General features: G+C 36.9%; 1 protein-coding gene across 6 annotated transcripts in view; it reads right to left on the bottom strand.

The window, feature by feature from the left end:
- Positions 1-15,497, bottom strand: part of XIRP2 (xin actin binding repeat containing 2) — a 371,274-nt gene that overhangs the window by 59,254 nt on the left and 296,523 nt on the right. For 3 of the 6 annotated variants that reach the window (NM_001199144.2, NM_001199145.2, XM_017003309.2), the window contains exon 1: positions 12,969-13,128. The exons of the other annotated variants lie outside the window; for them this stretch is intronic. The gene's annotated coding sequence lies outside the window, so the exon portion shown is untranslated. Of the gene's footprint in view, positions 1-12,968; positions 13,129-15,497 lie in introns of those variants that run through there. 6 annotated transcript variants of the gene reach the window in all.

Here is a 15,497-nt window from a genome sequence, read left to right as displayed (position 1 = left end):
ATGAAAATCACTCTAGCACGTTACACTGTAGAGACAGATCTGCTCTTTCCACCCCGCCCCCTTAATGGTTCCTCATGTTTTTTTCCTGCTCTATGTTTTTTAGGTAAAATCATAAAATCGTCATTCAAAGTTACTCACTTTAAAAATTTGCTATGGGACCTTTGAGAAATAGGCTCGGCACAGTGAACACTGGCCGTGACCTAGACCAGCCCAGGTGATCACTAGGCCAGTCTTTAAGTCCCTGCTGCTTTGTGGCAACCTACCAAAGGTAAAGAGAAGGAAACTGTATCCTTCATTGATGATTCATTCTACCGTTACTGTGCTTAGTACCCATGTGTTGAAAAACTCTACATTGTGAGGAAAACCCCTAAATATATTGTTATGTTTGGTTAGTTTGAATACGCATCTCCTTTCTATTTAATTTCATTACTCATTCTATTTAAACTAGTTGCTATCCTATTCTTTCTAAAGTCTCTGTTTTAGAAAATCCAAAAATTTCATATCATTCTACATAATTCTGTTTCTTACAGAATTGCTACCTCTTTGACATAACTTTTTTTTCTGACCCTAATTTTCTAATGTATCCCTTTTTCATTCCTACCGCTTCATTTGTGCTTTTCCTTTTCCCAAACTTCCTTGTGATTCTCAGCTTTCCAGATCCTCCTTTATGTGTGGTTTAGTTACTAAGGGTCTGTGCCCTTGTGGCGAGAATGTCATCTTCTTTCTGGTTGTCTAAGCTGGAATGAAAACTTGAGAAACAGCAAGCAAATGTGCTCACCCCTCAGCCATGGAGAGACGGTAGGCAGGCTCAGTCTATGATTAATAGAAAGTGTGCGTGCCTCTGAGGGACTGGTTAAAATATCCACTAGTGCCCCTAAAACAATTATGGCCTCCAGAATACACAGAAAGTGATTTAATTCTGGGTCAAAGCAGTGCATTGGTAGATGGGGATGACCTGTGCATACTAGCTTAAAATCTTTTTCCTCAAATGATCAACCCTTTCTTTCATAGGCTTTGTAAAATTCCATATGAAGCTGGGTCATGTGTAGTGAACTGTTTTGTTTAATTCCAAGTATGCTGTTGGCATTCAACAGAGCAAAAAATACGCCAAGGTAATGTAATGGAGATTAAGCTTTAATAATCTGTGGCTTTGAAAAGTGTCTTCCTGGCAGGCTTATCTTTAAGTTGTTTGAATGTACACAGAGGTAGGAATGTTAATCATTTACTGATTATTACCTTAAATCATTTTTGTGCTAAAAGCATTCTGTAGGAACTAGAGGTATCTGAATGTGTTTTAGGAATTTCCTCTCTTCACCTTCATCCCAACTTTCATCCCTCTTTTAAGGTTAGCATCTGAAATTTATTTTGACAAAAGATATTAAAAGAAAGCCCAGATCATCAAATCCAACTCTCACCAACTTATACATGACACCCTGGCAGCTTTTCTCCTACTAATCACACTTCTTGTTTGAATAATAAAATGTATTTAATTCAATCCAATTTTTGTCTTAGAAAAATCAATCCTTGAATTTACACAAACTGTTTTCAATGATCTCAAGTCTTTGTTTAAAATGCTTTCTCTGCCTAAGTCCACGAACAGCAGCATACTTTGATATTTTTTCTTTTGAACTTAATGACTGATAGAATTGATCAAAGAAAGGAAGCCACACTAATTCAACACACTTTCTTTACCGAACATTATTTGGGAAAATGAAGCAATCAAGAAGGAAAGTGAAAATGCTGAAATAATGCAGCATGGCTTGGTGAATAACCTACTCTTCTGGAAGTAAATTCACTCTTTCAGAGCAGTGATGTACTTTGAAAAATAGTATCTCAAACCTTGAAAACTTTCAGAACAATGTGGCCTTTAATTACTTCATCTTGAGTAGGAACATAAAATTTCTACTTAACTGGCTAATGTTAAACCGAAATGTTAAGAATCAATGTAGGACACCATTATTCTCACCAAAGCTTTATGTTTTTCTAATGTGCTTTAAGTGAAAAGGTAATTGGCCTCTTGTTCATATATTTGTACTTTCACAACTGCATTTTGATTCCTCTCTTTCATAATTCTAAGGGACACTGAATAATGTTGTATACATCTTAAACAGGTTTTTAAAAAATTTAGAACAGGAATGTTTACATATTAAAACTATAATAATTTTAATGTATCAAAACTCTGATGCAATCAGATGCTGGGTTACTCTCCTCTGTAACCAGTAACATGACCCAAATACCCTTTGCCTATAAATGCAGCACGTAATTTCAAAAGAAAGAGATGATGTCAGTTTCCTAATGATATGCTGGTACTAGGAACAGTCCAAAGAGTGGAAGTAATTTAATAGTCTTCCTTGCTTATGATACACATGGAGTGTATAATTAGTCAGTATCGTCATCCCTTAATTTATTTACAGTTATTTATCTTTAAAAATTTGACATAGGCATTTGTTTCTTTTCTCTCAGATTCAAAACCTAATGCTATAAATGTACCATACATGGAAGAACGCATTTATGCTGTTTATTTTACTCCTGTTTTTAAAGGGCAAACTTATTTTTATTAAATGTTATTCAAATTGAAACCTGATTTTTCCCGTGCACATTAAGACAGATACATCAGTGATGAATTTAACAACAAAGAATTTAACACTTGCAAACAGAAATCTTCCTACACCAATGGTATTTAAACTCAAGTGAAGTAGAAGATAAGGGGAGGAAAGTTGGGACGGAATGTAAAAAGCAATTGGGTTTCTTTGCCAAATTCCATATGAAACTAGGCTTTCACAGTGTTAAAGAAGCTGTGAATATGGAAGGCTGGTCACCACACAGTGGCCAGAAATGCTCGTTTCAGGCTCCTTACATGCAAGGGTGGGAAAAATAGAAAATATTTTCAAAAATAATATGCTTGTATGTTCCCTAATAGTGAGTGGCAGAGACTTCCCTAATATTTTTGCAGAACTGGTTACTAAATTTCTGTTTTTATCTAGAACTAAAATTTCTAGATCACCGAGAAGTAAACTGATAGTTGAGATTAAAATAGTCAACTTCACAAGTATTTAATGTTTAACATATTGACATATAAACAGTGGGTGCCCATTAAGCATTTGTTGAATGAATTTGTCTTGAAATAATATTGCAAAAGTTAATGCTTGTCTTTTCATGGTTCTCATTGGCAGATTTTGTTACTTTCTCTCTCCTACTTTTTTTGAAGTGTAGAAAACAAGTTTTAAATTCTGCAATAGAAGTTATTAAGCAACATTGAGAAGTTATGTGAAAGTTGGAATTACAGCTTCCAGGAAGGAGCAAAAATAAATGTCTTGCATGTAAACCTGTGACTCTCCCACAAAGAAATTCAGCTCTTCACCCAAAAGTCTCAGCAGGGTACCACATGAGCAGGTGAAAATTAGAACTGTGCAAAAATGTTTGCTTGGAAAGTGAAACCAGTCAATTTTGGGCTTTCTGCCAAATGTAACTTCTGCCAAAATTTCTCATTATTATATAGCTGCACAAAGCAATGAGAAACGTTATGGCTAAAAAATTCCAAATACATTCATGTCTCCATCATATTTCAGTCCAGAAGAAAATAACTAGCCTCCCCAGCCCAGTGAGCTAAGTACAGACAGGCATGAAAACACCCACCCCACTCCACACACATACCTACGCACAACCAACCCACCCCCAGCCACATTTTTCTTTGGAGGACCATTTAATCAGAAGCAATATCCTCCTAGTTTTGTGGGATCTAGGAAGAAGACCTCAGTAGGTTTTCAGGATGTCCCAGTGTACTCTTGAGTTGGAAGCCTGCCAAGGAAAGCAGATGTGGCACAAAGCCCTATGTCCCATTCACCAGCAGTGCAGGGCCTCAGGAAATGTCACAAACCTCGCTAATCCTGACACTAGGTTGCCGTTACAGAAAGCCTCACAGAAGGAGGAACACAAAATGCTGATGCTTTGCAGCTCTCTCTGTGTCGTTCTTTAAAGTGTCAAACCTGAGCATAGATTTGGTAAGTGACTAGACACACAAATAACACTCATCTATCGTGGCCAGTCTACACACACACACACACACACACACACACACACACACACAAAATTCTTGACACCCAACCATGTATAGACTCCAGGGCTCCATCCCCAGTCTTCCTTTTTTTGTCTTACCACACACACTCCATCAGATCTCAGCTTCATCCGTATTACACCTAATGCACATCTCTAGTAACTATTTAATCTCTAATCGTATGTTGCCCAAACTTTTAAAATGTAACATGGCTTAAAAATGTTACCCACAAACTTATTTCCAGTCTTAAATTTTCCAGTTGTATATTATCATAGAGAACATTTGGGATTTTCAGGAAAAATGACAAATGTATAATAATAAAGAGTCAGTTAAAGGTGAATAAATGATGTTGAGTATTAGCTTATGTGCAGAACTATGAATCTCTCTCTCTTTACACACACACACAGCAGCCTGGGAATGGGAGCAAAAGTAGCACATTATGGGAAAATGTTGAATTGGTTTTCAGTTTGATGGATTTAGCCAGAATTGGGGGCAGAGTGATACGGGGGTCAATGGAAGCTCTGCAGGGCCCAGGCTGAGTGGGCATTAGGTCTAACGTCCCTCCATTAAGCTCTCAGACCTACTCCTGCAGCCCAGAGTCAGACGCTTTCAACACATCTGAATTGTTTCTGGCCTTTGTTTTGAAATGCATACCCTCATCCATTGCAGGCTCCAACCTTTCTTGTCCCTATACCCACTGATTTCTGATCTTGTGATTTTCCTGGTGCATTGCGCCATTTCACTGGCTTGTGATTTTTTTGCTTCCTCTTCAACTATTGGGTTCTCTTTGCCCTCTCTCCTTTAGATTCCCATGATAAACGGTCTGGTCTTCACAGACCCATCTTCCAGTGCCTCGCTCCTGAGTGAGAGTTCTTCCATCTTTTCACAGATGCTGTGAGTGGATTCAAGACATGGAGAGATTAAGTAAATAAAGTTGGAAGGGGCTGCTGTGCAGGACATGCTAAGAATGTGGAGACTATGCTGAAGATCAAGCTCAGTTTCAGTTGAAAAGAAAGAGTGGAAGAAATGTGAGAAAGAAAACTGTGATCAGAGAGAATATATTGAGAGTCTAAGAACCAGGTCAAATTACTGACAAGGTTTAAAATGTGGCTGCGAGTAGCCTTGTCAGGAAAGAGACTGGAGTCATTAGGGTTGAGATGGTTGAAGAATTCAGTTTTTTGAAGTAATATGATGTTGACATCACCAAGGATAACAGAAAGTGTATTTGTTTCAAGTGTCAGAACAATTATAACAAGAAGGGGGTACTTAGTAGCTTTCTACAACTCCAGGAGAGGAGAGTAATTTAATTTGAGCTGAAGAGTGCATCTGTGAAAGATAAGGGTGTTTTTAACAACACAACAACCTATTAAATCACATAGACCAGTTTCTCTCTTAAACGGTTTTTAGTGTGTTGCAGTTTTCAATGTTCAGCATATAGGGTCACATATTATTTTACATTCTTATCTTGCTCCCTGGAATATATGGATAATAGTTATTATGTTACATTATACTCATATAGTAAATAATAATAGTAGTAATATTAATAACAAAAGCTTATACAGCACTTACTATGTGCCAGGGACTGATGCTTTAGAACTTTATAAAGATAAATTCATTTAATCTTTGAAATAAGACTATGAGATAGATACTACTAGTATCTCTGATGTCAGATGAGGAAATGAGGCACAGAGTTGGTAATTTGCCCAAGGTCAATCAGTAGGTAAGGGTAAGAGATGGAATTCAAACTAGGCAGTCTGGTTCCAAAGTCTGCGTTCAACCAGTTAGAGTTAACCTGACAGTGTTTTCTAATTTCCCGTAAAGTGTTACGTGGAGTTCATTTGGAACCTCTTCTGGCTCTAGGAGATGATGTTTCTGTGATTCTGGTAAACTGAGAACACTTCATACATTTCAAGGCTGGTTATAATGCTGGGGTTACAGAAAATAGTTCAGATGTCATTAATAGAAATGAAATAAAAACGAAGGAAGGGGAAAGGGAGAAAGAGAAAAACAGCACATTATTTGTGAAATTTTTCTAATTTTAAGGATTGATCAAAATGTAAAGATGGGCCAGGTGTGGTGGCTCACGCCTGTAATCCCAGCACTTTGGGAGGCTGAGGCAGGTGGATAACCTGAGGTGAGGAGTTTGAGACTAGCCTGCCCGACATGGTGAAACCTCGTCTCTACTAAAAATACAAAAATTAGGTGGTGTTGTGGTGCATGCCTGTAATCCCAGCTACTAGGGAGGCTGAAGCAGGAGAATCACTTGAACCCAGGAGGCGGAGGTTGCAGTGAGCCGAGATCATACCATTGCACTCCAGCCTGGGCAACAGAGTGAGGCTCCATCTCAAAAAAAAAGAAAAAAGAAAAGAAAAGGGAAAGATGGTATCAACAATGAAAATTTATATATCAACCCCTGAAACTCCTTTTATATATCCACCCCTGGAAGAATAAGCCTATAGGAAACTTGTGCTATTATTATTATAATTTAGTTTGACACTTCCTCAATACAAATAATTACAAGATACTGTGTCAGTATCTCACTGAATTTTTTTTTTTTTTTTTTTTTGAGACAGAGTCTCATACTGTGTCACCCAGGCTGGAGTGTAGTGGCATGATCTTGGCTCACTGCAACCTCCACCTCCCCAGTTCAAGTGATTCTCCTGCCTCAGCCACCCGAGTAGCTGGGATTACAGGCACGCACCACCACACCTGGCTAATTTTTGTATTTTTAGTAGAGATGGGGTTTCCCCATGTTAGCTAGGCTGGTGTTGAACTCCTAGCCTCAAGTGATTCACCTCCCTCAGCCTCCCAAAGTGCTGGGATTTCAGGTGTGAGGCACCATGCCCAGCCTCTCTACTCAAGGTTAACGAAGAGTAAAAAGAGATGTTATTATGGGTGATATTGTGGTTATTGGTTGTTATTTGAGGGCTATTCATCATTCTTTGAACATCTAAATGGACTTTGAGAATATGGAAGAAATGGAGAACAATATAAAAGCATAGGCAGCACTATGCTTTACAGGAAAGAATATATATGTATACACATACACATTCACATACATACACATTGGTGTATATATGAGGATAACTGAAAGAAATGGCAATAACATAACATAGGGACAAAGTCAAGAAGCTGTGACTGGTTGGCTTGAAATTGTGAAGTAAATGAAAGAGGTGCAAATTGAAGTTTGAGGCAACTTATTGCTTCTATTTAAAGGGTGGATATTAGGAACTATAACTAGTAATTTAGAGTTGACAACTGCTATAGCTGAACTAGATCTTTTGAGAAACCAAAGGGTGTGACTTAAATGCAAACTCATGCCTTCCAAATTTCATTTCCCTGAAATTTTGCAGAGTAAAAGTTGAGGCTGTTGTCCAGATCTGGATGATGAAGGGATGATGAATCTTGGAATTATTTCCATTCCAGAATCAGTCAGTGACTGAAAGCGGGCATGCACTAGTACAGTTCCATTCCTAAAAATAAATGTTTTGAGTCCTCCAGGACTCAGAGGACTAGCATATTTTCTACTAGCGAAGTCAAGGCTCTAATGAAGTTCTGTGCTCGCTCTGAGCAAACTGAGATGCTACGGAGGAAAACTGGAGGGGATCAAGCTGTTGATTGCTGCCAGTTGCTTTTCCTCAGTGCCTCCCTTGTCCTATTTCCTGAGTTCCAGTTGGAAACTGCTGCTGGACCCCACACTGGTAGCTGACTTCTACCCTATGCAGTGCCCAGGAAAATAGCTCTGGATGCCGCAGAAGCAGAGGTGGTGGATTTTAAATCAAGCTTGTCACTGGAATTGACAGAATTTTAATAACATGAACATGCTTATTTCATTCTGTCCTTTTCCAAGAATATACCAATTTGATAATATGACCCTTGAGTCCAGATTAAAAAACTCCAACTTGCAAGACACAAACCAAAGAGTAATCTTTAGCTTTACAAAAACATAGTTCACTCTCTCCCAGGAGCACTCAGTTCTATTGTTGTTTACAAACTGCTAATTATTTGTCACAATGGCTTACTAGTTAGATAATATGAAGGTGACTTATTAGGGCAGTGCTGAATCAAAGCAAACAAACACAAAATCAACGACAGAGATATTGATAAATTACCCATGAAGTTACAAAGCAATTAAATGGGGGGAAATGTGACTCTACTTATCAAAATTTAATGTTCATTGTTTTAAAAAACCCAGTAACTTTATAATGTGAGATCTATTTACAATTGATTTCAATGCAATTAAGTTCCTATGAATTAAAAATAATATAACATAGTATAGTATTGCTATTCAAAAATTATTTGATATTCAGTCCACATTAAACTTGAAATGGAAAACACCGAGAAAATGTTTTGAAACTATATTGCCAGACTGTGCTTTTAAAATTAATGCTAATACGTGCTTTTTAAAAAAGCTTTTCTATGTTGATAACTATCAAATTAACTCATTTACAAATATACATGCAGATATATTCAGATTTTAGGGGAAGATGCATTGGATCTTTGAATAACAGAGAAACTTCCCACAATAAACTCTTTTGGTATTACATTTATTTTAAGTGATACGTATGCCGGGAGCAATTTGGCAATTCCTTACTTTTGAACAGTCAGACCTATCTAAGGCATTAGGTTCACCAGGCAACAAGGATATAATCTGCATACTATTCGAAAAATGTAAAAGACAAAGATCTACTTGAAGGCCTGCCAAAAAAAGAGTAGTGAAAAGTGATGTGTCCAGTGATGAGAGTGGGGTTTTGGGGCAGAATCTCAGCTAACAAAGATGAACAAATTTACATGCTTTGTAAAATTTAAAAATAAGCCAGTCATCATCTTTCAAGTTTTAACAGAATATGCAGACAGGTCTCCTTTTCCACAATTTGTCCTAATTTCAAGAGAAACATGAAATGCAAAATGAAAAGCCACAAAAAGCTACTGCAAGAAAAACAAGGCCTTTCAAGATATACTTGGAAATGTATCCGGAGTCATGGGGGTGGGCTGGGGTTGGGTTGATGTCTTTTGGCACAAAGATTTGCAAAATGATATAAATGACATGAAGTACAGAAACAAATCAAGACAGTTAGTTTCTAGTTCTCTGTGCTTAAACCATGTATGAGTTACTAGCTAGTCTTCCCGTGCCTCAGCTTTCTTAATCTAGAATTTGAAGGCATTAAATGAACTAGTTACTGAGGTCTTTGTGTTAGCAATGTCTTTTCTTTTCTTTTCTTTTCTTTCTTTCTTTCTTTTTCTTTTTTTTTTTTTTTTTGAGACAGGGTCTCACTCTGTCACCCGGGCTGGAGTGCAGTGGCACGATCATGGTTTATCGCAGCCTCAACCTCCTAGATTCAGGTGATCCTTCTACCTCAACCTCCCAAGTAGCTGAGACTGCAGGCATGCATGTCACCATGCTCAGCTAATTTTTTGTATTTTTTGTCCAGATGGGGTTGGTCTCGAACTCCTGGGCTCAAGAGATCTGCCTGCCTCGGCCTTCCAAAGTGCTGGGGTTACAGGCGTGAGCCACCATGGCCAATAAATTTCTTTTATCTTTGGAACATTTAAAAAGGAAAACTATTCTACCAAGAATGTGGATTACCTTCTGTGGTGCTCACTGGTAGGTTATTTTTATGCCATTATTTATGCTACAAAGCCCCAAGAGTCATTAAATATGGCCACATTGTCATTGTTGTGAAAAACTCATACACGTAATTGATTGCATTTGCTGATTTTCAACTTTTTCAAGAAACCAAAACCTGCTCTTTTCATTGCCTAATTGTCATTGTTTTTTGTGCTCTTACTGATTATATTATACAAATGGAAAAATAGTTTAGTTAAATTTGTAAGAGGTGGATTCCAATGACTAGGAAAATAAATAGTAAGAAATTTTTACTCTGGAATTCATAGGTATCATGTCAAAGGAGAAGACCATATTGTGGACATAATAATACATGTTATAATAAGAAATACATATTTGGTCTTAGTCCCCAGTCCCTGGCATAGAAACCCTGGAGTCTCCCGAGAATGACTTTTTTATGCTAATGGAATGACTCTTGGCAGTCAGGAGTGGGGGGTAGGGGTGGGGAGTAGCTTCAGGATAGGGGCTGGTTGCCAGAAAAAACAATAAGTGATTAGAGGATTAGAACATTCAACCCCATGTTTGGCCTCTGAAAAGAACAGAGAGGTGGAGATTGAGTTCAATCAGCAATGGTCAATGATTTAGTCACTCATGCCTTATGTAATGAAGCCGCCATAACAACTCCTAAAGGACAGGGTTTGGTGAGCTGCCAGACTGGTGAACACATCCAAGTGCTGGGGATAGCTCGTTAGAAGAAAGCAAGGAAGCTGTGTGCTTCTGCCCTTTAATGCCATACCTTGCCCTATGCATCTCTTCCATCTGTCTGTTCCTGAATTATAGCCTCTATAATATACGAGTAATAACAAATAGAACACTTTTCTGAGTTCTGTGAGCCATTCTAGCCAATCATCTGAGGAGGGAGTTGTGGGGACCCCTTAATCACTAGTCAGGTTGGCAGAAAGATTGGTGGCCTGGGCACTCCATTAGTGGCTGTCTTGTGAAGTGGACAGCCTCATGGGACTGAGCCTTCAACCTGTGGAGTCTTTGCCGAGTCCTGGACCTAGTGTCCGAACTGAATTGAACTGTAGGACAGCCAGTTGGTGTCAGAGAGTTGGAGAATTGGTTGGTGTTGGAAAAGACACAACACTTAATATCAGAATTAGTGTCAGAAAACCGATAATACAACATGCCACACAGTCATATAAACAACATGCACCTATATGGAATAAATCAGTGTTCTAAAAAAGTCATTAATTAATTAGAAAAGGTGAAGTAACCGTTCTGTGAGGGATGAACCTGTTATGTGAATGAGCAAGTGTTTGTTTCAGAAACAGGAAGAAACACATTACAATTTAATTAAATTTCAAAGTGTAACTTCAATGCTTTCATAAGAGGAGGTGGGAAACAAATAAAAAAGACAATATAATGTCAATTAAGTTCTGTCTTCACAGATCGTTCAATCAAAAATCTTGGAATTACACTGCTGGGCACTTATTAAGTGTCTGCCCTGTTCTATAAATTAATAAATCTAGACATGACTCCTGGCTATCAAACAAGTCTTACAAAAATGGTCTCTTTTAATACCCAGAGTTGTGTGTATGTGTGTGTGTGAGAGAGAGAGCACAAGAGAGAGAAAGAGAGAGACAGAAATATATCGGTTCCCAGTATTGAAGTTACCAGGAGTGCCCAACTCCACATTGCCTAATCATAAGTAGTATTTTACCAAGTAAGTAAAAAGAATACTAAGGTGGAGAAGTTTTTCAAACATGGTAAAGGTAAAGGGAGAGGCTGGAACTGAGAATAGTGGGAAGCTATCAACTGTGAACAACAGTACATTATCAATGAACCTTGTGGGCTTTTAACCTCAAATTAAAGCTGAAGAAAGGCAACACTCTCCTCTTCCTCTGTAATCACAGAAGAAATGATGCCCAAACTGACATTTTTCCATGAACATTTTCCCAAGTGAAGCCTCTGAGATCATTAAAGAATGTCTCATTTTATTTTTCAGGTGGTTGAGGGAAGCTGTATCTTAAAGATGCCCAACACCAGATGAAAGCAAAAACATTTAGTCCAAACTCCAGACTGCATTTTTCCCAAACAGTTGGCACTTTGCCATAGTGCAGGCATCTGAAATGCGGACTGACTTTTAGAAATGGACCTAGTTGTTAGTTTATATGTTGCTAGCAAGAAGAAAAAATACTCAAAGATTAGGCAGAGGAGCAGAGAAATACTTAAGCATAGAATTCAGTTTTCTCATTTCTGACCCAATAGTTTTGCCACTCAATAATTTTATCTTCTAAAACTCAAAACAGGTGCTCTTTCATATTAAAATTCATGGCTCTGAATGTCGCCAAGGTAAATATTTTGCCTGTCCTTTGGTGCACTGTACATAAAATTTTAAAATAATTCAAACAAACTACAGCTTGTCAGTGACCAAATAGAGCACTGGTAAAAATAAAATATCTTTTGGTTCAGCACCAGCTGGCTAAATTTAAACCCTGTATTATGTAATCTTAAAGTGTCCTTGCTTTTAGTTGGTGTCTTAAGAGATTCTGTTATCACGTCTCTTCCAAATCACTTCAGTCTCTAACATCTAAACATTTAAGGCCCGACAGGACCAAATTAAGGTGTTCACAGGCAATCGAAGACAGAAGAAAAATCCATTTGAAACAGTATATAGGGCATGATATCTTTAAAGTAAAATCTCAGTCTTCTCTGTTTAAGGTTGTAGTTACTATAATTAGGACTGGCAGATCCAACTGGCAGTGCTTTTCTTAATTCTGCAAAACATGTAAGAACCTGATTCTTTAGTCTTATTCCAGTAATACTCCCAGAGGAGATGAGACTCTGGCTGGAGCAAGAACTACAAAAGCAAAGTAAGGCTGAAAAAGAATAATTTTCATGCATTTCTTTGAGCAAGCTGTAACAGTTGAAAATGTTGTAAACTCTTCCTTTCCCTCAACAAATTCCAAGAAATACAATTTATAGTTTTAAATATATTCATTACATTTCTGCTCATAAATGACAAACTAATTTTTTTCTGTGCTTTCCCTCTTATTTGTAAGTTGAAGTATAATTTTAACTCATGACTGTTTATCAAGTTTGGCTCATTATTCTTCAATATTAAATATGAAAAATGCTATTCTGCAAAGACACTAACATATGAAGCTCTAAATTTTATCCTATTAAATCAATGCTAAATATTATCATAGAAGCAAAATCCAACTGGATATTTTCTTTTACAATGATTACAATTTGACCTATGGTCTTCATTGACCTTAAGTAACCAGTGAGAACATTTTACAATCCAGGAAGCAGACATATAGTCAATGACTATATTACACTTACCTTTTATGATATTTAGGTTTAACCCCAAGTTTGTGGAAATATCATATATCTTTATAGTTCTTCACAGACTAGCTTCCTCCCTTGTTTCATGTACAGCCAATTTCCCAGTCCCCTGAAAGCAATGGGTGCAGTGGAGGCCCGCTCCACTGAAGGGTCTATCAAGCAAGTAGATGGGACGGCTGAATTTATTTTAGCAGAGCGTCTAAAGGATGCAACTTGGCACCTATTTTTAGGAACTGAGCTCTGTATAGGTGGGGCCTGAGTCAACCACTCTTTTAAGAAGAGTGTCTCTGAGGCCACTCTGCCTCATAGTGCCCTCAGTAATGTATGCATGGCTCTAACACATGTGCAGTCAATCAAACTCCCTTCCACAGCCACGACCACCAGCCAACTCTGAATTTCTGTATAAAGGCTACAAATGAACCAGTGCCGATGAGGAAAAGGATGGATTAAAGTTCCGGAATTACTTGCATTTGTTTTAATACTTTCAATCTTTTAAGAGTCAAGAATATGAAAATAAAGCAGGTGGAAAAAGTTTCCATTTATTCTGGTGCAATAATTAACATGAATTCTTGGGAAGAGGAGACATTGCTTTTCTTTGACAAAATGTTCTTAGATATGTAAAACATTAGTTTGTTTTTTAAGGCTTCACATATAAAGCAAAACACTACTCTAGTGTTGGCTTAAGTAAAGGCTGTGCTGGTTTAGTTAAAAAAAAAAAAAAAACAAGGAAGAATGGTGGAAAGGAATTCTAGAGAGAATAGAGAGCACCCTTGCTGTGTGAGTCCTGCTCATTAATATTGGCTTTAAATCATTCAGCATGAGGAAGAGCAAGCAGGGAAAAGGAGTCACCTCACGTGCTCCTGAGAGAATCATATTAAATGTCCTTTGCTGCCAGGACTTACCAAACACATGCTGCCAATCTGACCCAGAACCCAATGAGCATTGCCATTTAGCTCAAAAATGACAACATCTCATACATTCTCAGTAAATAGAAAATAACCAGCTTCCTTTATCTTTCCTCCCTTCTGTGATTTTCCTAATGTGGTGTGGCCTAACGACAAACTCAAATAAAGAAAGGAAATTGCCCTTTGGCTTAAAGAAACACCTGACCTATATACTCTATTTCATATAAAATGCCTATTTGTAAGCTGTTTACTATAATACTTACTAATAAAATCAGTAGGTATATTACATTTTTCCATATACAATATTGGTTTCTGTTAAAAGTAGGTCAAGGAGTGATATTCCAGCATATTAACTCTAAGAACAACTTTCTGAGATAGTGTTCTATATACTCCACAAGAGTGTTCAGGGCCAGGAGCCAGTATAGACTAATTATTTAGAGTTGTGCTTCTGAGTATGATAGCTATTAAGCACATGTAGACATTTAAATTTTAATTGATCAAAATTAGGTAAAATTAAAAATTCAGTTCTTTGGCTACATTTCAAGTAAATCAGTCTCCACATGTGGATAGTAGCTATGTATTAGTGCAGATATAAAACATTTCCAACATTGCAGAAAGGTCTCTTGGACAATACTGATTTAAATCACAGAATTTCAACATAGCTTTGACAGTAATATACTCTGTGACCTGGGCAAGTTTCATAAGTTGTCTAAGCTTCACTTTATTCATCTGTGACTAAATGGGACTAAGCTGACCAACCTTCCATTGGTGTTATGAAGATGAAATGAGATAATATAGATAAATTAATTATTATACTTACATTGTTATTACTCCAACATAACATTTACATAGAAAATAATTATTACTTTAGTTTGCTATATGCAAAAGAAAATGGTACTGGATCTGAAATCACAATAGTTCAATTTAAATTATGAGGAGATAGATCCTACAATGTAAACATAGTCAATTTTATTCTTATATTTGCATATAGTTGCTAATGATGCTTATGGTGATTTTACTCTTTTTAAAGGTTGTTAATTACTCAAAGATCTGACTTCTAGCTTCCCCACCTTCTCTCTCCTTATTAAAAACTCACTGCTTACTCTTTCCATTTTATTGATATGTTTCTTTAAGTTTCACTCATGATAACTTTTCTTCAAACTTGCTGTTTTTGATTTTTCAGGAAAAAAGTGTATTTGATAAAAATACATATACATTAAATATTATTTTTTCACTTTTTTCTCATAATAAATTTTCTAATGTATATATTAGTACAAAAACCCAATGATTATACATTAAGACCAACAAAAAATGGTCAGGAAAAGAAACCTTGGTGGAACACTGTATAATAATTGGTAATAATTAAGAGCAATAAATGTTAAATCTACAGGAGCACACATAAATTAACTGACCTAAGTTCAAGCAAAAATGTTCAGTCATAAAATTAATTAGTGATCACGTAATTTGGTTCATTCATTTTAGTCATGAAGACAATGAAAACATCAGGACCTAGATTCTGACCATTCATTATTACAGTGGTTTTAGACACTAAATTTCATTCTTCATTTAATAACAGTTTAATCAATTATTATGAAACCACTATGAAAGCAAGACAGATGAA

This window comes from Homo sapiens, chromosome 2 (assembly GCF_000001405.40).
Source record: "Homo sapiens chromosome 2, GRCh38.p14 Primary Assembly".
Classification (NCBI taxonomy): Eukaryota; Metazoa; Chordata; class Mammalia; order Primates; family Hominidae; genus Homo; species Homo sapiens.
The sequence above is the reverse complement of the archived record's forward strand: the minus strand, read 5'-3'. Positions and strand labels throughout refer to the sequence as shown.